At 43.4% G+C, this 26,274-nt stretch overlaps 1 protein-coding gene across 3 annotated transcripts in view; it reads left to right on the top strand.

Annotated features, from left to right (window-relative positions):
- Nucleotides 1-19,837: 19,837 nt before the first annotated feature.
- Nucleotides 19,838-26,274, top strand: part of KIAA1210 — a 72,496-nt gene continuing 66,059 nt past the window's right edge. For 2 of the 3 annotated variants that reach the window (XM_017029689.3, XM_017029688.3), the window contains exon 1: nucleotides 19,838-20,031. In XM_017029689.3, coding sequence (XP_016885178.1) covers nucleotides 19,997-20,031 — 35 coding nt within the window. In that variant the 5' untranslated portion in view covers nucleotides 19,838-19,996. Of the gene's footprint in view, nucleotides 20,032-20,388; nucleotides 20,678-23,374; nucleotides 23,496-26,274 lie in introns of those variants that run through there. The other variant, NM_020721.1, reaches the window with a different exon arrangement.

The raw sequence follows: 26,274 nt of genomic DNA, 5'->3' as shown, positions 1-26,274 counted from the left end.
TTTCATAGGTCTAGGGTCTGGCACAGGAATCTGTTTTGATCACATTCCCCAGGAGACTTGGGGTCTATGGCAAGTCACTTCTCTTTCTGAGCCTCAATGTCTCAGACTTGCCCAGGCAATGAACTTTACAGGAATTCAGAGGAGAAGGAATCCCTTCCTGGGCTCGGGTGAGAATGTTTTTTCTTCATGGAAAAGGTCCAAACTAGACCTTGAGGGATGGAGGGAGGATTTGAAAAGGGCAGAGGAATTATGTGACTAGAGGATCAAGACTATGATAGTGCCACTGCCCTGTTTCTCTTTGTGCTTCTTCTCAGGGGAGTGGAGATGGAACAGTTGGGCCCGGAACAAAAAGTCATTCACATTGAGTACCAGCCAAGGCCAGAACTCAAGTCCCTTGAAATTTCTCAGATTCCATCCCTGCCAAAGTCTGGGAGCTCTCATTAGACACTGACCTGTTGTTATAGGGAATAGGGACTTAGTGAGGCCATGAGTTCATTCCACAAACCTTTTCAAATGCCTTCTTTGGTCTCAGTCTTGTGTTGAGTGCTAAAGATAGAGATCAATAAAATATGGTCCCTGCCCAGGAAGGGCCTCAGTTTGAGCAGACAATTACAGTACGAGGAGCGTGTTCAAGGTCTTATATGGAACATTAGCATGCAAAGGAGAGGCTGTAGTGAAGGGAGGACATACAAAGAGGAGGTGAGGTTTGAGTAAAATTTGAAAACTGAGTAAGATTCACCAGGTCAAAGGAGGGGAAGGGGAGCACTTTTTGGATAGAGGTGGCATACAAGAGTAAAATAGCATGGCATGCCAATAATGAATTAGGGCAGCTCATAGACCTATAATCTGTCCCTCCTCTTGTTGATGTAAACTATCTGAGGCCCCCATGAGAAGAAAGAGTGTTGGAGACAATTTAGCTGTGGCCAGGGCTTGTGTCTCTCCAAGTATTTTCACTTCACTGCAAAGGCTCTGGGAAGACAGGGAGGTGTTTTGAAAGCAATAAATTGACCTGGGCAGATTTGACTTTTACAGTGTTCCCTCTGGTGGTTTTGTACATGGCAGGGGGATGAAATTAACTGAGTAATAGCAAAGGAGATATTGAGAAGAATATTGTTCCAGTCCAAGGAGAGTTGATAAATTGGGGCGGAAGACAAGCCATAAGTGCATTAGAGAGCTATTTAGGAATTCAGATCCACACAGCTTGTGGATTAGTTGACAGTCATGTGCTGAGACAGAAGGCAGTGCTGAGGATGACCTTCTATTTCTTAATTTGGCAAATTGGGTGGTAAAGAGAGGCTTAGGAGATTATGAATAAAGAGGAGAGAAGGAGCTCAACTTTGGACAAGTTGAGTTTGAAATGCCCATGGGACATCCAGGTGGAGATGTCCAATAGCAGCTTGATAACAAGAGAGAGGCCCAGCTTTGAGGTGTTTCTGAGGAGGGATTTCTGGATTCTGTGTGAATTCCCTCCTTATGTGTCCTTTTGCGCTTTTATTACACTTCTAAGAATAGAGTTTGCTGATATCCCCAAATCTATATTTTCCCCTCCCTAATTCTCCTATGTCCGCCATTTGTAACAGGCCACATATGTACCCTTGAATTTCCATGTTTCCTAAAGACATTTCCTTAAATTGTGAGGACAAGTAAAAGAGGACCTCGGATCACCACTTCCTGACTCCTTGAAGTCAAGTGTGGATATTCCAAAGGCAACCGAGCATTTATTCAAGATTCTGGAAATCACATCTACTTTTTTAGGAGTAGGGAGGAAGAAACAGTGGGCCAATCCTGTGGACATTCTGCCTTGAGATCGGCCCTCCTGGGATGGGTTCACATCACCATCATGAACATAAAAGAGTTAACATTTCTTGGAGCATTTCTTATATGTCAGGCACTATGCTGCAGACTTTTCATGCAAGATCTCACTGAAACTTGGTAACAGCCCTAAGGTAGGACTATTATTATCCCTGTTTTTATAGATGAGAAAACTAAGGCACGTGGAATGTGAGTGACTTGCTCAAGAACCCAGAGTTAGTACTCAGTAAAGCTGGGTTTTAAGCCTGCAGCTGACTGACTCTAGAATCCCTGTTCTCAACCATACTTGATGCCATTTAACTCTCATTTTTATTGCTTTTCTTTCAAAAATTCTTCTAATTTTCTTTTATCTTTGGTAAGTAACCACCTGATTACTCAGCTAGTCAGTCAGCAGCCTGGATTGCATACTAGTTTTACAAAGAAAACTCCACTACATGTTGAAGATGGGGTGTGAGACAAAAGAACTAGAAAGCATGGTTCCCGTATCCAAAGACCTATCTGGCTTGTGCACCCATGAAATGACTTGAGTGTGATTATGCAGTGTAGGGCCAGATAGAATTTATAAGGTGGCAAGGCTTCCTGGAGGAGATGTTAGCTGTTTACCCACCTAGAAGGAAGAGAGACAGATGGGGTGAGGAATTGGAGGCACCAGAGAGAACATCTGGTTACTAGATTCTGGTCCAAACTTCTCATTTCCTAGATGAAGAAACATAGCAAAAGAAAAGTGGGGACCTGCCCAGGTTAGGGTCCCTGACATCCCAGTTAGTGGGGCAGGAGAGGCTGAAGACCAGCATGAGCAAAGTCCTAGAGGTGCTGACTGAGAGGTCAAGCACAGAGAAGAATCAGGCCAGGCACAGTCACAAAGCCACCTTGTCCAAGGCACACGTCAGCAAAGTTTGGGAAGTTTTGTTTTGATTCCACCTACTCTGTGGGCTTCCTTTGACTCTGGCAACAATGTGCAGCTTGCTCTTGCCATGTGCCTCTGCAGCCCAGGCTGACAGTGTACATTTCATTAGCCTGCCCATGCTGAAGTCATACCGTCAGTGGAACATGCTTCTGGCTTCTATTTACCCAACACAGAATATTTCCAATAAAGAACTAAAGCTGCTTTATTCCAACAACAACTTACATATTTTCAAACAAAGGAACCATAGAGTCTTCATTTATAAACTTCTAGCTGCCCTGGTGTTGGGTCAGGAAATACCAGTTTTTTACATGGTGTCAAAAATTAATTGACTTTGCATTTCCTCCCACAAAAATGTGGCTCTCCAGACATAAGGACGTGGGGGTTGGAATCCCACCTCTCCTGGCTCCCAGACTACCTTGTCATAGAGTCCTCATAAATCAGGAGGCAATCCTTTCTGCTAGTCTGTATTAATCTCTGCAGATGAACAGAAGTGCCAAGTTCTGGAGGAAAAATATCTTCCTGACTCCCATCTGGAATCTGTTGACAGTTCCTTCCTGACTCCAGTTAGACAGGGCTTAGGGGATAGGTGGATAGCAGCAGGTATGTATTCTTTGACTCGACTCCAGAGTGGGTAACTGGGTGCTTCTTTCCCTCCTCCCCAGCCCTGAGGCTTTGCCCGTCACCCTGAGCTTTTTGCATTCCAGGTACCCAGGACTTCGCCATCCATCCCTGGCCTCTAGCCTTGTTAGCCCTTAGTGGGGAGCTCAGAGGAACTGCCATCCTCTTGCTGTAGCTACACTGATTCTGGATCATGCATTATGCCTACTGGGTTAAGGGAGTGGCGAACAGGGCTGGATGGGCATCAGCAGAATGTGCCTCTGATGCATGGAGCTGGTGCACTCAAGAGCTATAAAACTGGCAGGTAAGTTGGGATATGGAGGGAGGGAAATAGATACAGTTCCTATGAACCTGTCCCATTTAATCAGAATATAATCATTTCAAGAGAAGGGGCTTTGAGGAGCTTCAAGACACAGAGAAACACCCCAATACTTTTATTAGGGATTTTTAAGATCAGATATCTCTGTACTTTGGAAACTTGACTGTCTATCAGTTTCATCTTAAAAATTATTTCCTTTTGTTTGCCATTAATTCTTTAATTCATTCAACAAATATTTATTAAGCACTCTACTATGGCCAGGCACTGTGCTGGCCCTACTGATGAACGAAACCACACATGGTCCTGGCCCCCATGGAACGTATAGACTAGTTGGCGAGTAAGACATTAAGTACATTATCAAGAAATGAATGTTAAAATACAATTGTGAAAAATTCTAGAAAGGAGAGGTAAATGCTATGAGAACACATAATAGGGATGTTCTGACTTTTCAGGAGATCAGGGAGGGTTTCCTCGAGGCAGTGAAGATTTTGCTGAGACCTGAGGGATGAGTAGACTTTAACTAGGCAAAGAGTGGAAGGAAGGGTATTTCTGGCAGAGGGAACTGTATGTGCAAAGGCTGCATGGAGGGCCTGCAAGAAGACCAATGTGGTAGAACAGAGGATCAAGGAAAAGCAGGGTGATAGCTGAGGCTGGCAAAGTCAGCAGGCTTCCAAGGCCAGATCATGACAGACCTTTAAGGAGTCCGCTGAGAAGTTTGGTCTTAACCTTAAAAGCTATGGGAAGCTTTTTTTTTTTTTTTTAATCAAAACACAATACTTTATTTCCCATGTAAAATGCGCCAGAACATTGTAACGGAGTAAGTGTTCAGTCATGTTTTTCAAATGACTACTGATCATTTTGTATCAGGTACATGGAGAAATCTGTTTTTTGTCTTTTTTTTGGGGGGGGGCGGTTTTAAAGCATTTTTTCCATTCCAAAAGTAATACATTTCATTATAGGAAAATTTTAAAATAGAATGAAAAATTAAAATATTTGAAACCCATCTTTCAGCAGCCTAAGGACAATCACATAACATTTTTGACATTTTTTCTTCCAATCTTTTTTCCACAGAGAGGATGTTTTAGAAAATTGTAATTATCCTATATGTATTCTTTTTTTTTCTTTTTTTATTTTATTATTATTATACTTTAAGTTTTAGGGTACATGTGCACATTGTGCAGGTTAGTTACACGTGTATACATGTGCCATGCTGGTGTGCTGCACCCATTAACTCGTCATTTAGCATTAGGTATATCTCCTAATGCTATCTCTCCCCACCTCCCCCCACCCCACAACAGTCCCCAGAGTGTGATGTTCCCCTTCCTGTGTCCATGTGTTCTCATTGTTCAATTCCCACCTATGAGTGAGAACATGCGGTGTTTGGTTTTTTGTCCTTGCAATAGTTTACTGAGAATGATGATTTCCAATTTCATCCATGTCCCTACAAAGGACATGAACTCATCATTTTTTATGGCTGCATAGTATTCCATGGTGTATATGTGCCACATTTTCTTAATCCAGTCTATCATTGTTGGACATTTGGGTTGGTTCCAAGTCTTTGCTATTGTGAGTAGTGCCACAATAAACATACGTGTGCATGTGTCTTTATAGCAGCATGATTTATAGTCCTTTGGGTATATACCCAGTAATGGGATGGCTGGGTCAAATGGTATTTCTAGTTCTAGATCCCTGAGGAATCGCCACACTGACTTCCACAATGGTTGAACTGGTTTACAGTCCCACCAACAGTGTAAAAGTGTTCCTATTTCTCCACATCCTCTCCAGCACCTGTTGTTTCCTGACTTTTTAATGATTGCCATTCTAACTGGTGTGAGATGGTATCTCATTGTGGTTTTGATTTGCATTTCTCTGATGGCCAGTGATGGTGAGCATTGTTTCATGTGTTTTTTGGCTGCATAAATGTCTTCTTTTGAGAAGTGTCTGTTCATGTCCTTCGCCCACTTTTTGATGGGGTTGTTTGTTTTTTTCTTGTAAATTTGTTTGAGTTCATTGTAGATTCTGGATATTAGCCCTTTGTCAGATGAGTAGGTTGCGAAAATTTTCTCCCATTTTGTAGGTTGCCTGTTCACTCTGATGGTAGTTTCTTTTGCTGTGTAGAAGCTCTTTAGTTTAATTAGATCCCATTTGTCAATTTTGGCTTTTGTTGCCATTGCTTTTGGTATTTTAGACATGAAGTCCTTGCCCAAGCCTATGTCCTGAATGGTAATGCCTAGGTTTTCTTCTAGGGTTTTTATGGTTTTAGGTCTAACATTTAAGTCTTTAATCCATCTTGAATGAATTTTTGTATAAGGTATAAGGAAGGGATCCAGTTTCAGCTTTCTACATATGGCTAGCCAGTTTTCCCAGCACCATTTATTAAATAGGGAATCCTTTCCCCATTGCTTGTTTTTCTCTGGTTTGTCAAAGATCAGATAGTTGTAGATATGCGGCGTTATGTCTGAGGGCTCTGTTCTGTTCCATTGATCTATATCTCTGTTTTGGTACCAGTACCATGCTCTTTTGGTTACTGTAGCCTTGTAGTATAGTTTGAAGACAGGTAGCATGATGCCTCCAGCTTTGTTTTTTTGGCTTAGGATTGACTTGGCGATGTGGGCTCTTTTTTGGTTCCATATGAACTTTAAAGTAGTTTTTTCCAATTCTGTGAAGAAAGTCATTGGTAGCTTGATGGGGATGGCATTGAATCTATAAATTACCTTGGGCAGTATGGCCATTTTCACGATATTGATTCTTCCTACCCATGAGCATGGAATGTTCTTCCATTTGTTTGTATCCTCTTTTATTTCATTGAGTAGTGGTTTGTAGTTCTCCTTGAGAAGGTCCTCCACGTCCCTTGTAAGTTGGATTCCTAGGTATTTTATTCTCTTTAAAGCAATTGTGAATGGGAGTTCACTCATGATTTGGCTCTCTGTTTGTCTGCTATTGGTGTATAAGAATGCTTGCGATTTTTGTACATTGATTTTGTATCCTGAGACTTTGCTGAAGTTGCTTATCAGCTTAAGGAGATTTTGGGCTGAGACAGTGGGGTTTTCTAGATATACAATCATGTCATCTGCAAACAGGGACAATTTGGCTTCCTCTTTTCCTAATTGAATACCCTTTATTTCCTTCTCCTGCCTAATTACCCTGGCCAGAACTTCCAACACTATGTTGAATAGGAGTGGTGATGTTCTTGATCAAGTTCCTTTTGAAAATGTCATACTGTTTGAGGAGCAATTGCTACTTAGGAAAGAAAAGAGTTGTTTTCCTTCTTTGAACATATGTAGTGTATTAACATATAAGTAAACCTCATTTCCTACTTTCTTGGATTCCAAAGGGAAAAGTCCTTCTGAAATTGAGCAGAAATCATTAGGCTGGAAAGAGCCTAACTAGATAATGGGAACTGTGGCATGCTGGGAAAAGGTCTGGCACTATTCCTCTAGTAGCATTTTCCCAATTCTGATCTTTCTTTTATACCATGTCTCTATATCCTCTCCAGCCACTGTACTAATTTTAAAATTTAAACAAATTTAAGCCTGTGGTAAAATACATATAGTGTTTACCATCTGAACCATTTAAAAGTGTACAATTTAGTGGCATTAACTACATTCACATTATTGAGCTACCATCATTGCCATCCATCTATGGAACTCATTTCATCTCACAAAACTGAAACTGTAACATTAAATGGTAACTCCACATTCCCCCTGACCCCTACAACCCCTAGCAACCACCATTCTACTTGCTGTGTCTATGAATTTGAGCACTCTAGGTACCTCAAACAAGTGGATTCATACAATATTTGTCTTTTTGTGACTGGCTTATTTCACTTAGCATGCTTTCAACGTTCATTGATTTTGTAGTACGTGTCAGAATTTCCTTCCCAAGACTGAATAATATTCTATCATGTGTATATACCACATTTGTTTATCCATTTATCCATTGATGAACATTTCAGTTGCTATTGTGAATAATGCTGTGAACATGGGTGCACAAATATCTCTTCAAGTCCCTGCTTTCCATTCTATTTTTTTTTGTTTTGTTTTCTTTTGTTTTTGTTTTTGTTTTCTTTTTTTTTTTTTGAGACAGAGTCTCTCTGTCGCCCAGGCTGGAGTGCACTGGCACGATCTCGGCTCACTGCAAGTTCCGCCTCCTGGGTTCACTCCATTCTCCTGCGTCAGCCTCCCGAGTAGCTGGGACTACAGGTGCCCACCACCACGCCCAGCTATTTTTTTTTTAATTTTTAGTAGAGATGGGGTTTCACCATGTTAGCCAGGATGGTCTTAATCTCCTGACCTCGTGATCTGCCTGCCTCGGCCTCCCAAAGTGCTGGGACCACAGGCGTGAGCCGCCGCACCTGGCCTCAATTCTTTAGAGTATATGGCCAGAATTAGAATTCTGGATTGTGAAGTAATTCTCTATTTAATTTTGTGAGGAACCACTGTATTGCTCTTGATAGTAGTTGCACCATTTTGCATTCCCACTAACAGTGTACAAGAGTTCCAATTTTTCCACATCCTCACCAATACTTAATATTTTCCATTTTTGAAATGGTATCCAGGGCTCGGCGCAGTGGCTCATGCCTGTAATCCCAGCACTTTGGGAGGCCGAGGCAGGTGGATCACGAGGTCAGGAGATCGAGACCATCCTGGCTAACACGGTGAAGCCCCGTCTCTACTAAAATTACAAAAAATTAGCCGGGCGTGGTGGCGGACGCCTGTAGTCCCAGCTATTCGGGAGGCTGAGGCAGGAGAATGGCGTGAACCTGGGAGGCGGAGCTTGCAGTGAGCCGAGATAACACCACTGCAGTCTGGCCTGGGCGAAAGAGGGAGACTCTGTCTCAAAAAAAAAAAAAAAGTATCCATCTTAATGGGTCTGAGTAATATCTCATTGTGGTTTTCATTTGCATTTCCCTGATGATTAGTGATTGTTATCTTTTCATTTGTCTATTCTTTGGGGAAATGACTATTCAGGTTTTTTGCCTGTTTTTTAACTGAGTTGTTTTGTTGTTGATGTTTTCTTCATATATTCTAATATGAATCCCTTATCTGATGTATGGTTTGCAAATATTAATATTTTCTTGTATTCCTTGAGTGCTCTCAGTTTTATAGAATGACTTTTCTTAAGGCTGGGCACAGTGACTCAAGCCTCTAATCCCAGCACTTTGGGAAGTCGAGGTGGGTGGATCGCCTGAGCCTAAGAGTTCAAGACCAGCCTGGACAACATGGTGAAACCCCGTCTCTACAAAAAATTAGCCTGACATGGTGGCATGTGTCTGTGATCCCAGCTACTTGGGAGGCTGAGGTGGAGGGATTGCTTGAGTCTAGGAGGTCAAGGCTGCAGTGAGCTGTGATTGCACCACTGCACTCCAGCCTGGGCGATAGAGTGACAAAAAAAAAATGACTTTTCTTAGAATAAGGGTCCCAGTTTTGATCCTAGTTCTACAGTTGACTAAAATGGGGATAGCATACCCTGCCCTGCCCGAAAATAACAGTAACTAACCTTTATCAAGCACCTACTAAGTGCCAGGCACTGTTAAGTGTTTACACATATCAGCTCACTTAATCTTCCCAACAATACCGTGAAGTAGGTACTACTTCATTTTCATGTTTATTTTACAAATGGGGAAACTGGGTTACAGAGAGTACGTAATTTGCCTAAGGCCATACAGGCAGCATGTTCTAGAACAGAGATGTCACCAAACAACCCAGCTTTAAAACCTGGCTTCTGTGAGGAGCCAGGATAGGAGGAAGGCCTGTAGACTGTTAAGTGCTGTGTATGAGAGACGCAAGAGAGGGTTTTCATTTCTGAGCATTCTCTGAAAAGAATGAGGGCTCATTGACATGGAAAAGCCACTTCTGGGGCACTCTAGGATCACGAGGAGTCAGGGAGAGTCCTTTGCAAGGGGCAGGGCCCTTGGGGTTGAACTTGGAGCCCAGCTCCAAAACGTGAAGAACCTTCGCCTTCCTCATTTGGCCTCTCTTTGCCAAGACTTCCATTGTAAATATATGTCCCCTAAGAATCGTTACTTGCAACTGTATAACACTTAAAAAAATTAAACATACCTTCACATACATTATTCCATCACATCTTCATAATGATCTAGTCATTCAGGAAGGGTGGAGGTTATTTTACTATTTTACAGATGGGGAAACTGAGACTCAGGAAGATTAAGTGGCTTTCCAAAAGCCCCGATGTGTGGCTAAATAAGAAGAAAACAAAGACTCTTGGACCTTTTCATTCATTCCTCAATAAATCTTTTTGCAAGCCCATCAGAAGGACAGGCATTCTTTTCCCTGGCCGTGGGCCAGAAGAGCAGGAAAAGCCAGGTATGATAACCTCTCAGTGACTTGGGCCAAAGCCTGATCCATACTTCCCACATGAAGGCTTTGAGGATTGTTAAGTTTTCCCTTCTTATCCCACTGCTTAGCAGTGAGCGCTTGGCTAAAACCACTGCTTTGAGGGACCGGGACCCAAACATTTAGATACCTCTCTAGGTCAAGGCTGCCTCCCTCCAAGATGCAGCAACAGTTCTACAAAAGAGATCCAGAGGACATTATTCCCTCCACCTGACAGATGTGGTAATGAGGGTAAGTAACATGCCTGAAGTCATGCAGCTAATAAATGCTGGAGTTTCTGGCTTCAATATTAATATTTTTTATCACTACACCAAGCTACCAAGTTGCCAAAAGGCGGTAGCAACTGTGGGGACAGTACTTAATCATGAAAGTGCTCGATTTCAATGTGGTTGGAACAGTTCAAGTGTGCCAGTGTGGACATTGTGGGCAGCCCTGGCCAGTGGCAGGTAGCAGGCTGGAGCAAGAACCCAGCTATGTGGTAGGACATTGTAGAATAAACAAAGATCACCCAAACAAGAACAAAAGAGGGTATTTATCCGGAGCTTGCTATAGCAAAGGGGTCAGCCACCACAATTTGGGTTGGCAGAGACTCAAAGGCAGGCAGGGGGTGGCAAAGCTTTATAGTGAAAAAAGGGAAGGCTAAACATATGCCCTGATTGGAGGCTGTTGGCAAGGGAAAACTGGACCAGTTTAACTAGAAACAAGGCATCCTACATGATTGGTGTGCGGGACCTATTTCACTTTCTCTGGTTATTCCTGAGTTGGAAGTGGAAGGGACAGTGGCAAAGATAGTAAATCTGGGATGTGAGATTGACCATGTCCTGACTGCTCTGGAGTGATTGCTGAGAGACTGTGGTTTGGTTTCCTGGCTGGTGGATGTAGAGGTTGTGGGTCAGAATCTTACTGTCATAGATGGTCCTGGCCATTGTCCAGTCAAACTGTCCTAACTGAGAAACCTACTGCTGTGGCTGAAATATTCATTATCAGCATTAGAAAAAAATGAAAGAATTTCCTGAGGTCCTTATGTCTTTCCCCACGGGTTGATGGTACTGTGTTTCTGGAGATTTTTCACATTGGCTCCAACAGGGTTTTCATAATCTGACTGATTCTGATTGACCCATATATGCTTTTCATCATCATGCATCAGAAAGCAGTTTCCTGCATGTGGGAGCAGAGTCCAGATAAAACATTGTGTTTGGAGGGGACAGGGGGCACGGTGTCTGAGGTCCTGAAGCTATGTTCAGTCTACTGAGACTAAGCTGGGGGTTGGAGGAGGGCATTAAAGAGTGGGTGCCCCCAAAATTAAATGGGGTGGGGCTACACACGGTGGTCCAAATTGTAGCACTAGCAATTTGGGAAGCTTAGGCGAGAAGATTGCTTGAGGCCAGGAGCTCGAGACCAGCCTGGGCACCATCACAAGACCTTGTCTCTACAAAACATTTCAAAAAAGAAAATTAGCTGGATGTGGTGGCGTGCACCTGTAGGCCTGGCTACTCTGGAGGCTGAGGTGGGAGGATTGCTTCAACCCAGGAGGTTGAGGCTGCAGTGAGTTAAGTTTGCACCACTACACTGTAGCCTGGGAAACAGAGCAAGATCTTGTTTCTAAAATAAATAAATAACTAGATAGATAGATAGATAGATAGATAGATAGATAGATAAACAGATAGACAAATAAATCACATGTTCCCACTTATTTGTGGGATCTAAAAATCAAAACAAAGTCAGGGACATAGAGAGTAGAAGGATGGTTACCAGATGTTAGGAAGAGTAGTGAGGAGCTGGGGGAGAGGTGGGGGTGGTTAATGGGTACCAAAAAAATAGAAAGAATGAATAAGACCTAGTATTTGATAGCACAACAGGGCAACTATAGTCAATAATAATTTAATTGACATTTTAAAATAACAAGAATATAATTGGATTTAGTAACCAAAGGATAAATGCTTGAGGGAATGGATACCCCATTCTCCATGATGTGATGGTATTGCCTGCCTGTATCAAAATATGTCATGTACCCTATGAATATATACACCTACTAAGTACCCCCAAGACTTAAAAATAAAAAATTACATGTAAAATAACCATTTTAAAGACTTGTGAGAAAATGCAAATGCAAAATATCTCATTAAAAAGTTTTATTTTAATCACAAAAAAGTAAAAAGTAAAATAAATAAATAAATAAATAAAAGCAGGAGTGAAGGAATGCCCAAGACATTTTTCAACTGGGACCCTCCATTCAGAACACCTTTGCAGCCAATCAGTTGTTTTCATTCCCCCATGCCACACCCTACCATGACTTTTTAAAATTAGTTGTTTCTATGATGACAAAAGTAGAATATATACTCATTGTGGGAAAAAACGATCTGGTTCATAACTACATTAATTTAAAAAGGAAAGATCCTGCCCACCCTGAATTCTCATTCCAGAGGTAACCACTGCTGAGAGAAACCATATATCTCCCTATAGGCCCTGTAGGAAGTCATTTAGGAGTGACTCCTCCTCCCCCATCTTGCCCAAAAGGTCAGAAAAAAAAATGCAAGAGATTTCAGATTTGGCAGAAGTTCTGCTCCCCCACTCCCCTGGGATTCGGTTGCCATTTCATTTCTTTAGTTGCTTTGAAGTCCAGATTCAAGTTTCTGAATAAGACGCCTGCCTCCCTCCCATACCCCTTTATGAAAGCACCCATTAGCCTCAGTGCCCTGCTGGGCAGAAGCAGGGCCCAGAGCTTTGGGTGAACTGTCAGGTTTTGAGCCTCAGCAGTCTGTGGGCACATAGCTGCTATGTGTGCTCTTGGGCTCTGCTTTCACCTTGGATACCGGGAGGTTTGACATTCTTTTCATGAATTTTCAAGGAAATATATCTCCCATCTGGATGGAGACTGGCTGTAAAGAACTCAGCTGTGCCTCATTGGTGAATGGTTAAGCACACTGTGATACATCCATACCATGGACACTCAATGACAAAATAAGAATGAAGTATTGATACATAGAATGATGTGGATTAATCTCCAGAGAATTATGTTAAGTTAAAAAAAGCCAATCCCAAAACTTTACATATTACATGATTCCATTATATAACATGTCAAATGAAAATGAAGGAAGTATAGAAATGAAGATAAGTGACTTCCAGGGGTTAAAGAAAAGGAATGAGGGAAATAGGTGTGGCTATAAAAGGGCAACATGAGGGATCCCTGTAGTGATGGAACGTTCTGCATCTTGACTGTATTGATGTTAATATTCTGGTTTTAATATTATACTAAGTTTTATATTAATGATATGTTACCATTGGGGGAAACTGGGTAAAGGGTATGTGGGATCTCTCTTACAACTTGTGATAACTTACAATTTACATGTGAACTAACTGCATGTGAACCTACCTCAAAATAAAAAGTTTAATTTAAAAAGAAAAGCCCTTTCTGTTCCTCTGTTTATCCCCTTTTCTTGGGTCCCTTGTGTAGGTGAACATTGAAGTATAAATGCTAAGTCATCTTGAGGATGGCAGTAATTCAGCAGGGCAGTTCAATTCAGTAATTGAGTAGGTGGCATGTAGGGGGTGGCCTGAAAATCTACACCTTTCTTTCCCCCACCCCACTTCAACTCAAATAGCCTCTGCACTGTACTCAGCATGATACTCGAACCTCCTGCCATTAACACCACTTTTGGGTACCCTCTCCGCAGGCCTAGGCTCTTTGTGTTTTGAGACAAATAATGCATCGATTCTTTGGCTTGATTACTATTACCAGCTGTTGTCACCAGGCACACAGCAAGGCTCTGAGATGCTAAGGAAGCAGGACAGAGACTTTGGGGCTGAGTATAAGAGAGAAGCCAATGTATCTGTTCTCAAATTTTCCTTCCCAAGGATCATTCGAGAGGCTGCAGTTATCAAAGTATGAGGAACACCTTGGCCTGTGAGGAAGAGATTGCTAAGATAGCAAAGATATATATATATATATATATATATATATATATATATATATATATATATATAGTGATAACTTATATATGTATATGTATAGTGATAACAAATATATATGTATAGTGATAACTTATATATACACATACACTTAACATATACATACATTTATATGCACACATATGCGTATGTATGTACATACATATGTATATATACATATGTGTGTGTATATATACATACATGTAGGTACACACACACACACACACACACGCACACACACGGCTCTTTTGTTTCCTGGAAGGAAACCAAGAAGTAGGTAGGGACATGGTGGTGGTGAAGGGTAGAGATGGGTTTTCATGTTTCATCATTTTATACCTTGTCTACCATTAGAATTTTCCAGCCATTTTTTTTCTTTGTCTTTTGGGGAAGTTCTTGGAGGCCAGGTACCCTGGCTACATGCCTCTGCTTTTCCCATTGACCAGTCACTCAGCTCAGGATGTCAGCAGCCCAGGAGGAAGTACTGAAAACTCCTTCTCCAGGATATTAAGGAAGGAAGGAAGGAAAGAAAATGACAGCAGGAGGCTGTTTGGGTAAGCCAGTGTGAATCACTGATTCCAGTCCCAGGGGGTTGCTTTCCTCTCAGCTGCCTGGCCAAGGAAGGCAGAAGAATTCTCTGCCTGGCTAGATGGTAAAAATGCCATTTACTATGCCAAGCAAGTGTCCCTCCTCCAATGGGGGTGGCATACCTGGCTGGGCCCTTGCTCCCTTGGCTGATGTTGAGGGGAGGGGATGCGTGCAGGCTTTGGATAAGGCTGCATGTGGGGGCAGTGTCTCACCCCTCCAAGCTCTGGGCTAAGTGAAGTGTGAGTGATAAATGTGTGTGTTTTCTCCCTGCTGGGGATTTTCAGGTTGGAGACTGTGACTTTGGCCATGGCTGGAGGTGAGGGAAAAAAATTGGGTTCCTCCTCCTTCCTGAGCACTGTTCCATTTTCAGGCTCCTGAGGACCAGAGAGCTGGAGGGAGTGGAGCGAATTATTTTAGAGTTTTGTGCAGCCGGGAGAAAGGAGATGAAGGCATCCAGCAAGAAACTGGCAAGGGCCTTCCACATCCTTGCACCTTTACTGATAGCATCATTGACCCCATCTGAGTTCCAGTTTCCACTCCTGAAGGGGACAATCTGAAATACAGGCAAACAAGCGGGCAGGTGGATGGACAGGTGTGTGTTTAGAAACATTGCGCAATGTCTAGTTACAAACTCCACTCATCTCTGCTCAGTCAGGCAGATCCCCTAGGACCACACCTAGAGCCAAGTTTGTGTTGTGTTATTGGATATATAGCCCGAAAGTAATAAAACTGTACTGTAGACATTCTATACTATACAGACTTCCTCTAAATCTCCTCCACTACAAGAACGAGCCAGGAGTGTGGTGAGTCATGGTGACTTTTCTGGTTGTCCTCCCCCACTACTCCAACCCCAGCCAAGAGATGTCCAATGACTCTGAATACTGCCTGATGGGAGAGGAGGAGGAATGGGAAGAGGGGGAGGAAGAAGTAGTCAGGACTGATAACTGCCATTAGCAAATGCCTATATAAGCATCATTATGTAAGCATTCCTCCCTAGAAGGCATCCTCTCCTCCCCCTAACCCACCATAGTATCTTGTTGGCTCTCCTCCACCCTACTTTTTTGCCCATAATGTGAATTTATGTCAGACTTGGCCTGTTTACAAATGTTGGGGGAGGGCTGGGGGAGGTCCCTGCCCTGCCAAGTGTACTTTCCTCCAGCCTAGCTCCCTTAAGGACAACTCTGGATCTGGTGGTCCCACTTGCCCCCAGCCTCCCTAGAGCGTTGTGAGGGCAGATATTCTCAAGGCACTCTGAGAAGCCTGGTGAAATGGCTCCATAGAAGCCATAACTCAGATCTCTAACTCAGCCTCCTGGGCTTCGTGAGATGTCACTCCATCTGAGATGCTCTAATCAGCAGGGTCACATGGATTTAGACACTAAACCGCTTTGTCTCTCTCATTTCTCACCCTTAAACCCACCCACACCTTTGCCAGCCTTTAGTGGGAGCTCATTCAGTGAGCCTCAGGAGGTGGGCTGAGGGGATTGGGAAAGAGAAAGCAGGGAGACATGAGCCAAAGGAAGGGGAGGAGAGACAGAGACTGAGAGCGACCTTCTGGAATGGTTTGCCCCTGTTCAGAAGTAAGGACGTTTCACTATTCTCCGTTTCTGGATCTACTGATTATAGAGATTTTCCTTTTTTCTTTTCTTTTCTTTTCTTTTTTTTTTTTCCAGACGGAGTCTTGCTCTGTCACCCAGGCTGGAGTGCAGGAGTGCAATCTCTGCTCACTGCAACCTCCGCCTCCCAGGTTCAAGAGATTCTCATGCCTCAGCCTCCCAAGCACCTGGGACTACAGGTGCCAGCCACCATGCCTGGCTAATTTTTTGTACTTTTAGTAGAAAGCGGGTTTCACCATGTTGGCCAGTCTGGTCTCGAACTCCTGACCTCAAGTGATCCACCCGCCTCAGCCTCCCAAAGTGCTGGGGTTACAGGCATGAGCTGCTGCACCTGGCCGATTATAGAGATTTTTCCAGAGCCGCATGTTTAAAAAGCCTGGTAGAGTTTCTGAATCAGCCCTGAAGGTTTCAGTTAAATTTATCCTGCATGTTTTAGACTCACTGGAATCATTCTTAGAGCTAGGAAGATCAGATTCCCCCCAAAGCAATGGAGGCATTTATCTAGGAACTGCGGTTTGGGGGGATTCACTCATGGTGTTTGTACTTTATCTTTTGCTGGAAGCAAGTGGCTGAGCTATGCTGCACCTGGAAATCTACGTTATTGGGCCAGCATCTTAAGAATGTGCCCAACTTTCTTAGTAGAGGTTATACGCATCCGGAATGCCAAGTAATGGAATGTATGCCCTCTTGGGATTTACAAAGGATGAACACTTTCCAAAACCCAGAGCTTAAAAAAAAAAAAAACTATTCCCCAAATAGTTGTTTTTGTTTTTGTAGTCCTGTCTTCTTATCCAGCCTTATCCAGCTCCCACCGTGTTATTCTAACATTTTCTTCTACTGGTCTGTCCTAATGACTGGCTTTTGGGCATGTGGTCATTTTCAAGTCAATGCTATGACCACAGATCCCTCAGAACAGTAACCACAAAGTCCCTCAACAAGGTGTTTTATTCACTACCTATGATTCACTCAGCACTGTACCATGGGCAGATATAAGAAAAAAATGTGCACTTTGGGAGGCTAAGGCAGGTGGATCACTTGAGGCCAGGAGTTCGAGACCAGCCTGGCCAACATGGTGAAACTCCGTCCCAACAAAAAATACAAAAATTAGCCGGGTGTGGTGGTGCATGCCTGTAATCCCAGTTACTTGGGAGGCTGAGGCACAAGAATCACTTGAACCCTGGAGGCAGAGGTTGCAGTGAGTGGAGATCACACCACTGCACTCCACCTGGGTGACAGAGTGAAACTCCATCTCAAAAAAAAAAAAGAAAGAAAGAAAAGAAAAGAAAATGTAAGAAATGTGTTTTTTTCCTCTGGAGACTTCTAATCTAAGTTAAGGAGAAAAGTTATGTGCATTTGAAACACCACGAGGACAACAAAAGACAGTATATAATAAGATGTGGAATGGAATGGTATGATAATAGCAATTCCTATCAGTTATTGAGACCTTCCTAAGGGACAGGCACTATGCTAAAGGCATCACACTTATTATCTCATTTTAATCCTCATAACAACCCTTTGAGATGGGTTCTATTAATATCTCTACTTTTGAGCCAAGGGAACTCAGGTTTAAGAGAGTAAATAATTTGCTGTAAGGCAGTTGGTAAAGGCAGGCAGAGCTAACATCTCATTCCCAACTTTTTATTTTGAAAACACTTCAGAATTACAGGTAAGTTGAAGAATACTGTAATGAAGACCCGTATATGCCTCACCTACATTCACCAACTATTAACATTTTACCACATTTGCTTCATCATTCTCTCTCTCTCACTACACACACACACACACAAACTCACTCCTATGCATTTTTTCTGACCTAATTGAGCATAAATTGCAGATATCATTACACTTCCTTTCTAAATACTTCAGCATGTATCTCCTAAGAACAAAGACATTTTCCTACACAATCACAATGCAGTTACCGCACCTCAGAAACTTAACCAGAGTCAGAATTTGAACACAACTCTGACCCCAGAGCCTTGACCACAGGTGATATGAGATTTCAGTAGAAGGAGCCATCAATGCAGTTTGGGGGTTATAAGATGGATTTTCTGTGGACTCTCTACTTCTGATTATTTGAAGTAATGGAAGGAAGGAGTTAGGCAGAGAATCACAAAGCATGCATTATCCAAACACCAAAGCTCATGTTTTTCAAAGTGTGTTCTTTTTGGGTGGGAAGGGAATGATATAGATTTGCCTTTCTAATTAGCTTCTTTTCTGGCCAATATTAAAATTGGTCTTTCTTAACAGCCTGCTGACATTACAACCGGTGTAGGTATTCCAGAAGTTATTCTTTGATTAAAAACACAATTACAGGAAATGTACTAAGTGGGTAAGCAAAGCCACATATGAATAATGGAGAACTAACCACAAATTTGACTTAGAAAGGAATTCTAGCTAGAAATTCTAGCCACAGGTCAGACTTTAGCATCTGCAACATAAATCTAGTTCTTGCTCAGTTATGTTCCTTTTCCCCAAAGTTAATAAGAGAGGGTCACATGTACTGCCCTGTCCAGAGACCCCAGCCTACCCACCCAGTGAAATTCCAGAAGCAGGGTGTTGCCTATTTCAGACTGAAAGGAAAAACAGGCCTCCGCTACCAGACTTGCGAAGACCCCCTGAAGGGACCCCAGCTAAATTTCTTCTTTCTTCTTATTCTTATTTGGACAAACCCAATTTGGAAAGCCTGTCAGATTAGGCCCAGCTAGACAGTGTTTAATGCCCCTCATGAATACATGCACAGGAGAAATCACAATCTTTTGAAACTCTTGATTCCTCAAAAGTCATTTTAAAAAGCCAAAAGCCTGCATCTGCATTTGTTTTGCGTGTCGCACTCCCACTAGGCACTTTTAAAAAATCAAAATATTTCAGATCTGTGCATCTCAGAGGCCAAGGTAGGGACACACACCTCTTTATGGGACTGAGATTGGGAAAGGTGCCCTACTGGGTCTTCCAGGCAGTCAACATTAGGTCACACTTTTGCTCGTTGTCTCTGTCTCCAGTTCTTTTGGTTTTCTGTGGACACAATCTGATCTGCAACATCTCTGAATCCATGTAATGTAAGCCATGTTATAATTGGGGTTCCCCGTGTACACACAACCTTTGGTAGGGACTTTCATCTCGAGGGCAGAAAAGATTTCACAAATTTAAGGAAATTCTTGCTTTTTTGGTTCATGGCCCCAGACTGGCTTAGGGAGTAAATAGTTTTCCTTAAGACTGAACAAGAACAGCTTAGAACACCTCAAAAACAGTGTTCACATCTAGATGGGAATGCTTGCAGCCTTGCTACTTAAATTTTCTTTCTTCCCTGACCTCTCTCTTCTCCCCTCTGCTCCCCTCTCCCTCCATCCCACACCATCTAAAATGCCAGAAAGCGATTTATTTACATCGCCTTCCCAAAGCCCTTGAGTGTCCTTTCCTGCTCGGATAAAAGCCTCTACTCTTTCCTTAGGGTTTCATCTCCAAATTACTTCTCACGCTCAGCTCTGCAGGGATACAGAGAGGCTAAGAAAGAGCATCTGGTATTTTGCTCTAAGGATGCTGTTGTGGCGGGAAGATGGAGACAGAGGGAAAAGGGGAGTTAACAGTTCCTAACCATGTAAGGAACAAGCCCAGCCCTTTTTGGACTGAGATCAGAAGACAGCGAGAGGCCTTGGAGAAGAAACTTTATCTGGCTGGTTATTGCTTCGGCCTGTGGGTCTGGGGCTGCGTGCGGGTGGGCGCTTGAAGTGCCGAGCTGCCCCCACGTGGCAGCCTCTAAGGGCATGCCCACAGCGCGGGCTCCCATGCACCCCAGCAGGCAAGGCACGTAACCGGCCAGCGGCTCCCTCAGCAGCACCATGGCTAGCTTTCATGCTTGCCTCAAGATTTCAGAGTAAGTGGCGGGCGCAGCCGACCTACTCCCCCTAGACACCACAGAGTGGAGGGTGGCAGAACGCCAGCCGGCCTTGCAGGGGCTCCTAACCGCCCAAATGGTGCTCTCGCCGCAAAAACGGGCGGCGAGGAATGACCCGGGGGTGGGCGGGGGACAGCGAGACACCTCTGGGCTCGAACTTGCAACATCATTCCCCTGTGCACCCCGCTGGTTGGGGGCGGTGCCCTCCTGGGAGAGCTCGCGCAGGTGTGCGTGTGCGTGTGAGTGGGAAAGCTCAGCAGCGGGAGAGTCCTCAACCCAGCTTCTGGGACTCGGCAGGTCGGGGGACACAGAGACAGGTCAACTCTACGCGGGGAAATGAGGGCCGGCTGGACGCCTCGAGGCTTCTCTGCCTTTCACGCTTCTCTCCTTCCTGGCCGGCACCCCTACCTGGCTCACCTGGGCCCCAGGGACCGAGGGGCCAGGATTGGAAGTCGAGCGTATTCCCAAGGCTGTTGCAGTTGTCTTTGGTTGACTTACAAAGGCAAGAAGGAGGGAAGCACCAAGGGGGAGCTTGGCCCAGCTGCAGTGACTGACCTGGAAATACCTAGTTATTCCCGGGGCTTCCTGCCCTGCACACCGCGATTCCCTACCACTTGGTGCAGGGGTACTTTGTGGCACTCCTACAGCCTTGACTTTGACAGAGTTTGTAAGAAATGACTCAAGTCTGAGAAGGGAGAGCTGCACAAGGGTGATGTTTATATAACAGACAGACCAGGGAGAGAGACTGGACAAAGCTATAGCTTCTCTATGTGTCAAGAAACCTAGCCAACATCATCTCAAAGTAAAGCACCACACAAACCTGGATTTTACAAGGCTCATTTCATTGATTAGTAACACCATTCAAATAACTGACAGCAATAATTCCGTCAAATAATGTGGTTCAATTATATCAGAACATGATGTTTTGGCACTAGTAAGCAGCCAGCAAGCAGCTAGCATGACTGACAATAAATGATCTTGTAGGGAGATAAGGGAGATGGGGGACTGGGGCCAAGAAGTGGAAGAGAGACGAGAGGAAGGCCGAGAGAGGGATGGAAAGAGAGAGGGAAACATGGATGAGTAGAGAAGAATCACCTTAAATTTTCCGAGTTGTCTTAATTTTCTAAACTTATTCCAAGCTGTACAATATGCAGTCTCCCAGTTACTTGATGGGGTATTATATTCAAGCAGTATATTCTTATTATGTGTCCACAGTGTTGTTTTTGGATGTTGTATGTGCATATGTTTACGTATTGCAAGCAATTCCAAAAGGAAGAAGATATTAACCAAAATAGATTTAGTCATATGGTTAATTAGTGGGTATGTGAGTGTACATGATTATTGCCAATTTTCAATCATGGAGTGAACACTCTTCTTTTCCCTTAACTATTCCAACTTGGAATCACAGCCAGAAACCCACCTCACTCATTGCAAGTCTCCAATCACTGAGCGTTGCATGGGTTCATTTGGCCCTGACAATTCGGCACAAAGCTAGTTTCTCCCTCTGGGAGAAACTTTTCCTTTCCCCTCCTGGAGCCAAGCAAGCACAGTGTCTGGCACAAGTATTTGTTGAAAGAATCTTGTTGACTGAACGAAGATGCACTTAAGGAGCTTGCCTTCTTAGGGGGTGACCAGGCCAGTAAACAGCAGTTTGCAAGAGGTAGAGGATGGGGACATAAGCTCAGTAGGAGAGAATGTAAATGAGAGTAGGAGCACTTGGAAGCGAGCACATGGAGGAACTGTCGGGTCCTCTTCTTTGAGCTTTTTCCTAGGCTCCAGGTGTTGTGGGAGAGGAAGACTGGGAGGGAAATGGTGCTGGCTCAAACACTCACTGCTCCCCCGTAAACCTTGGGCACTCTCGCACCCTCCATCCCCCTAACACCCCCACCTCCCCCCAACACAAGGAGGTTTCATAGGATCACAACTTGGCCAAATCAGCAGGGTTGCACTTTCTCAAGGAAGCCCAATAGGCCTTGAAATTCAAATTTGGGCAGAAACACAGGATTGGTTCACAGTCTCCTCTCCCACATACAATTGCAGTCTAGATTTTATGTATAAATATATACATTTCTCATCGTGGAGATGTTTGAAATGTCTGGCCAGTGGTGGAAATGGGTATGTTCAGAGCAGCCATCCATATTCTTGTGGGCCTTGACTCCATGCCAAGAGCCTCATTGGCACTTTGCTCTAATCAAATGAGTCTCTAGTTTAAAAACCCAGTTTGGGTTTTTAAATTCCAAACTAGTTACTGTAGATATAGATCTTGTTCAAGATAACTAGTTATTAAGTTCTGTTACTATTTTCATAGAGATAGAAGGACAGCAGTTTACAGGAGAATTATCAAGAGATTGGTGAATACACTTTTTGGAAGAAGGGAGAAAATAGCAGTAGGCTTAAATTATGTGATACCATATTGCACAAGTATAGAAGGAGATGAAGGCAAAGCAAAAGAACTTTTAAAATCTGACAAGACCCTGTAATTGTGGGGTGGGTGACAATGTCTTCACTTTAAGAGTAAACAAAGTGGGCCCCAGAGGTTTTTAGCTATTCTCTTTGGGTCATACAGTCAGTGGCAATACAAAGATTAGACTCCTGAGTACCCTGACTCCCAGCACAGAGCTGTCTAGCTCAGATAGAGGAAAGATTGTCATCTGAGTAGTAGACCAAAAGCATACATTGTGGGATACTGTGGCCTCTCTCTGGGACTGCTGCAGAGGTCAATTCAGCCTAAGGCAAAATGGTGAGCTCAGGCAACTTTTTGTTGTTGTTGTTTTTGAACAGGGTCTCTCACTCTGTCACCCAGGCTGGAGTGCAGTGGAACAATCATAGCTCCCTGCAGCCTTGAACTCCTGGGCTCAAGTGATCCTCCTGCCTCAGCCTCCCAAGTAGATGGGACTACAGGTGTCTACCACCATGGCCTGGCTAATTTTAAAAAAATCTTTTTATAGAGACAGGGTCTTGCTATGTTGCCCAGACTGGTCTCAAACTCCTGGGCTCAAGTGATCCTCTCACCTTGGCCTGGGATTACGGGCATGAACCACCGTGCCTAGCCCAGGGCAACTTTGTTTTTAGCAACCCCAGTCTCTCCTGTTACAACCCATTTCCGATTTCAGTACCCCTTCCACCCCAGGCGTTCTGGGCCTGAACTTTGCCCTTCTCTCCAAGCCTGTCTTCTCCAGGCCTCTGGCCTTCTAGGCCGTGGACTTCCTCTTGGCTAACACATTGCCATCTTGTGGCCCAGGGCTAGCTCTTAGCCAACTGACCTGTGATGATAGGTTAGTAGACATTAATGATTAACTCCTGATAATGTGTATTTCAACAGGACCTGGATGCTTTTGTGGCACTGCAGTGATTGCTGGTAATCTTGGGGATCTGGCCAGGATAGTGGGCCCCTCACATCATGCTAGTCAGCTTCTCCTACTCCAAGAACAGGATTCAGGAAAGTGAGGCTGAGAGCTTCTGCAACAGGTACTTGACACCTGACCAGGGAATTACTATTGTAAATTATGTGTCAGCCTGCTCCCCTTGGCTGCAAAACTTCCCTGATGACCCTGGAAGCAGTGTGGGTTACAATTTGAGATTAGAAGCCACAAATATTGACTTGTAATGAGGTCCAGTTGCTGGTATTCTGAGGATCCATGCATTCTTTCTTGGCCCTGAGCAGCCCCCTGGAATCCAGATGCTAGAGGACAGCCAACCCTGAAGTGTCCTCTACCAACCTGGACCCATCTTCCCATAGCATCTGCAACCAGTTCTCCGGAACCCGAGACCTTGCGGCATACCTAGCTGCACGGAGAGAACAATGATGAACATGAAATTTGGCTCTATGTCACCTTCCAGTTAGGGAAGGCAAATTTAGGCCATTTGAAAGCACCAGAAATGTGTAGCTGCAGCTTAGCCTGCCAGATCAGACCCAACTTCCACTCCTCACTGTAATTAGACGTGTTTAATGTGGTCATTAGAGATCCCTGTGGCACTTCACTTCCTTCTCTCCCTCCCTTCTTTCCTGTTTTTTTTTTCTTTCCCCCTAGTTTTAGAAGAAAGATTGTTAACTCTAATTTCCTGGCAAGGGGCTCAGTCTGGGTGTCGCATTTTGCTAACTTGCATTCACTCAGTTGCACTTTTCATTCATGAGAGCGATAGGAGAATTGATGGGTGCCAATGGAGTGGCAGGTACCAGTGTAGGGGTCAGAGGGAGGAGATACTCTCCCAGGCCCCCAGCCTCACCCTCTGTAAGGAGTTAGGGGGAAACTGGCTCTTGGGCAATTTCTTGAATAAATTATTTGCCGTATTTACCAGTTCACCTAAAGTTTTTTCTTTCAGTTATTTACAACATAAAGTATTTAAATCTTTGCAAAAATTCATTTAGGAGAAAATGGTTTTAAAGCTTTTGGAGATGTCTCTAAAGATGTAGTTGACAGGTTTCATTTGGTCTTTAGCAGCATTCTAAGGGATGTTCCACTTGTTGTAGGGAGGTTTGGTTTCCTTGGGAATATATGAACAATCTGGAAAAGTATATTATTTCATCAGGAGCCAAAATTTCAGCATATTATATGGGAATGCTTAAATTTGTTTCTTTAAAGAAATTTATGTATTTTCTTGATTGACAATGGAATATTTGTGTATATTTATGGTGTACAACCTGATGTTTTGATATATGTATACATTGTGGAATGATTAAATCAAGGTAACTAACATACCCATCACCTCATATACTTATTTTTTGTGCACTAGCTTCTTTTGAATCCTTTGAAAGTGCATTTTCAGTTGTGTCAACTTTAGCATTTTTAGAATTCTTTCATCAGTTTCTCATATACCATAATTTTTTGTTGTGTGTTATTTCTGGAAATTAGTAACCAAAATGTAAAATGCGATGTGATTGCCCTTGTCATTTCCTAATGATTTTCTACTTTAGCATTCTTTTAGCTTTTTAAACCAATCTGCTTCTTATGCTTCCTTCACAATTCCATAGTTATAGTCAGTGGATAGCAAATTTGAGGAATGAATCCTACAATGTATTATAGTAATCCCTCTTGGCATCTTTACTCTCCTTCTACTGCTTTAAACGGTTTTACTCTTTCATGAAATCTTCAAGAGCTATTAAAACAGCCCATTCAATTCAAATTGCTATAAACTTTATAATTCACTAGAAGAAATTAGTTTTAGTGAATTGGCTTGCTTTCAGAAGGCCAAGTTAAGTTAGTGAAGGCTTGCCATTTGATTACTTCAAATGCATATATAGTACTGCCTTGACCCAGTACTTCTGAGTCAAGGTAAGTACTTGTTCTCTTAACAGCTGGATGTGCTCACCTCACCTGCCACTCACCTCCTGCTGTGTGGCCCGGTTCCTAACAGGCTACAGACTGGTAGTGGTCTGTGGCTTGGGGGTTGCAGGCCCCTGTTGCATGCTATTACTTCAAATGCATGTATAGTACTTACCTTGACCCTCAACTGGAGGGTGGCAGGGGCATGTGGGGGATAATTTTGCTCCCCAGGGGACATTGGGCAATGTCTGGAGACATTTTTGGTTGTCAAAACCGGGGCCAAGGTATGCTACTGACATCTAGTGGTTAGAGGCCCAGGGACGCGGCTAAACATCCAAGGATGAGCAGGAAGAGCCACTCCCTACCTCCTACCAAAGAATTTTGCAGCCCCAAATGTCAATCATGCCGAGATTATGAGACTCTACCTTAAACTAATAACAGTTTCCCAAAGTAGAAGTCTGAGGAGGACCCACCTTAAGAGCGTTTAGACCAGCACTGTTCACTCGAAGTTTCTGTGATAATGGAAATGACCTCTATCTGTGGTGTCCAATGAGATAGCCACTAGCCACGTGTGGCTACTGAGCCCTTGCAGGGTGGCTAGCATAACTGAAGAACTGAGTATTTAATTTTATTTTATCGCAAGTAATTTAAAATTAAACAACCACATGTGGCTAGTGGCTTTCCTATTGGATTCAGTGTTAGAGGCACTATGGTCTAGTGGAGCATAGTCCTTGGTTCATGTCCACAGTCTACCACTTTCTAGCTTTATGGTCTTGAGTATGTCATCTAGGCCTTCTGAGCCTCAGTTTTCTCATCTGTAAAACAAGAAGTAACAATGGTACCTACTTTTCAGGATGGTGAGTATCAAATTAAATTATGCATGAGAAATAAAACATGTAGCAGTATCTAGCACAGTAAGAATTTGAGAGATGTTAGCAATTATTGCTAGAGATTTGTG

The sequence above is a fragment of the Homo sapiens genome, chromosome X (assembly GCF_000001405.40).
Source record: "Homo sapiens chromosome X, GRCh38.p14 Primary Assembly".
In the NCBI taxonomy this organism is placed as follows: Eukaryota; Metazoa; Chordata; class Mammalia; order Primates; family Hominidae; genus Homo; species Homo sapiens.
This window is presented reverse-complemented; position numbering and strand designations above follow the sequence as displayed.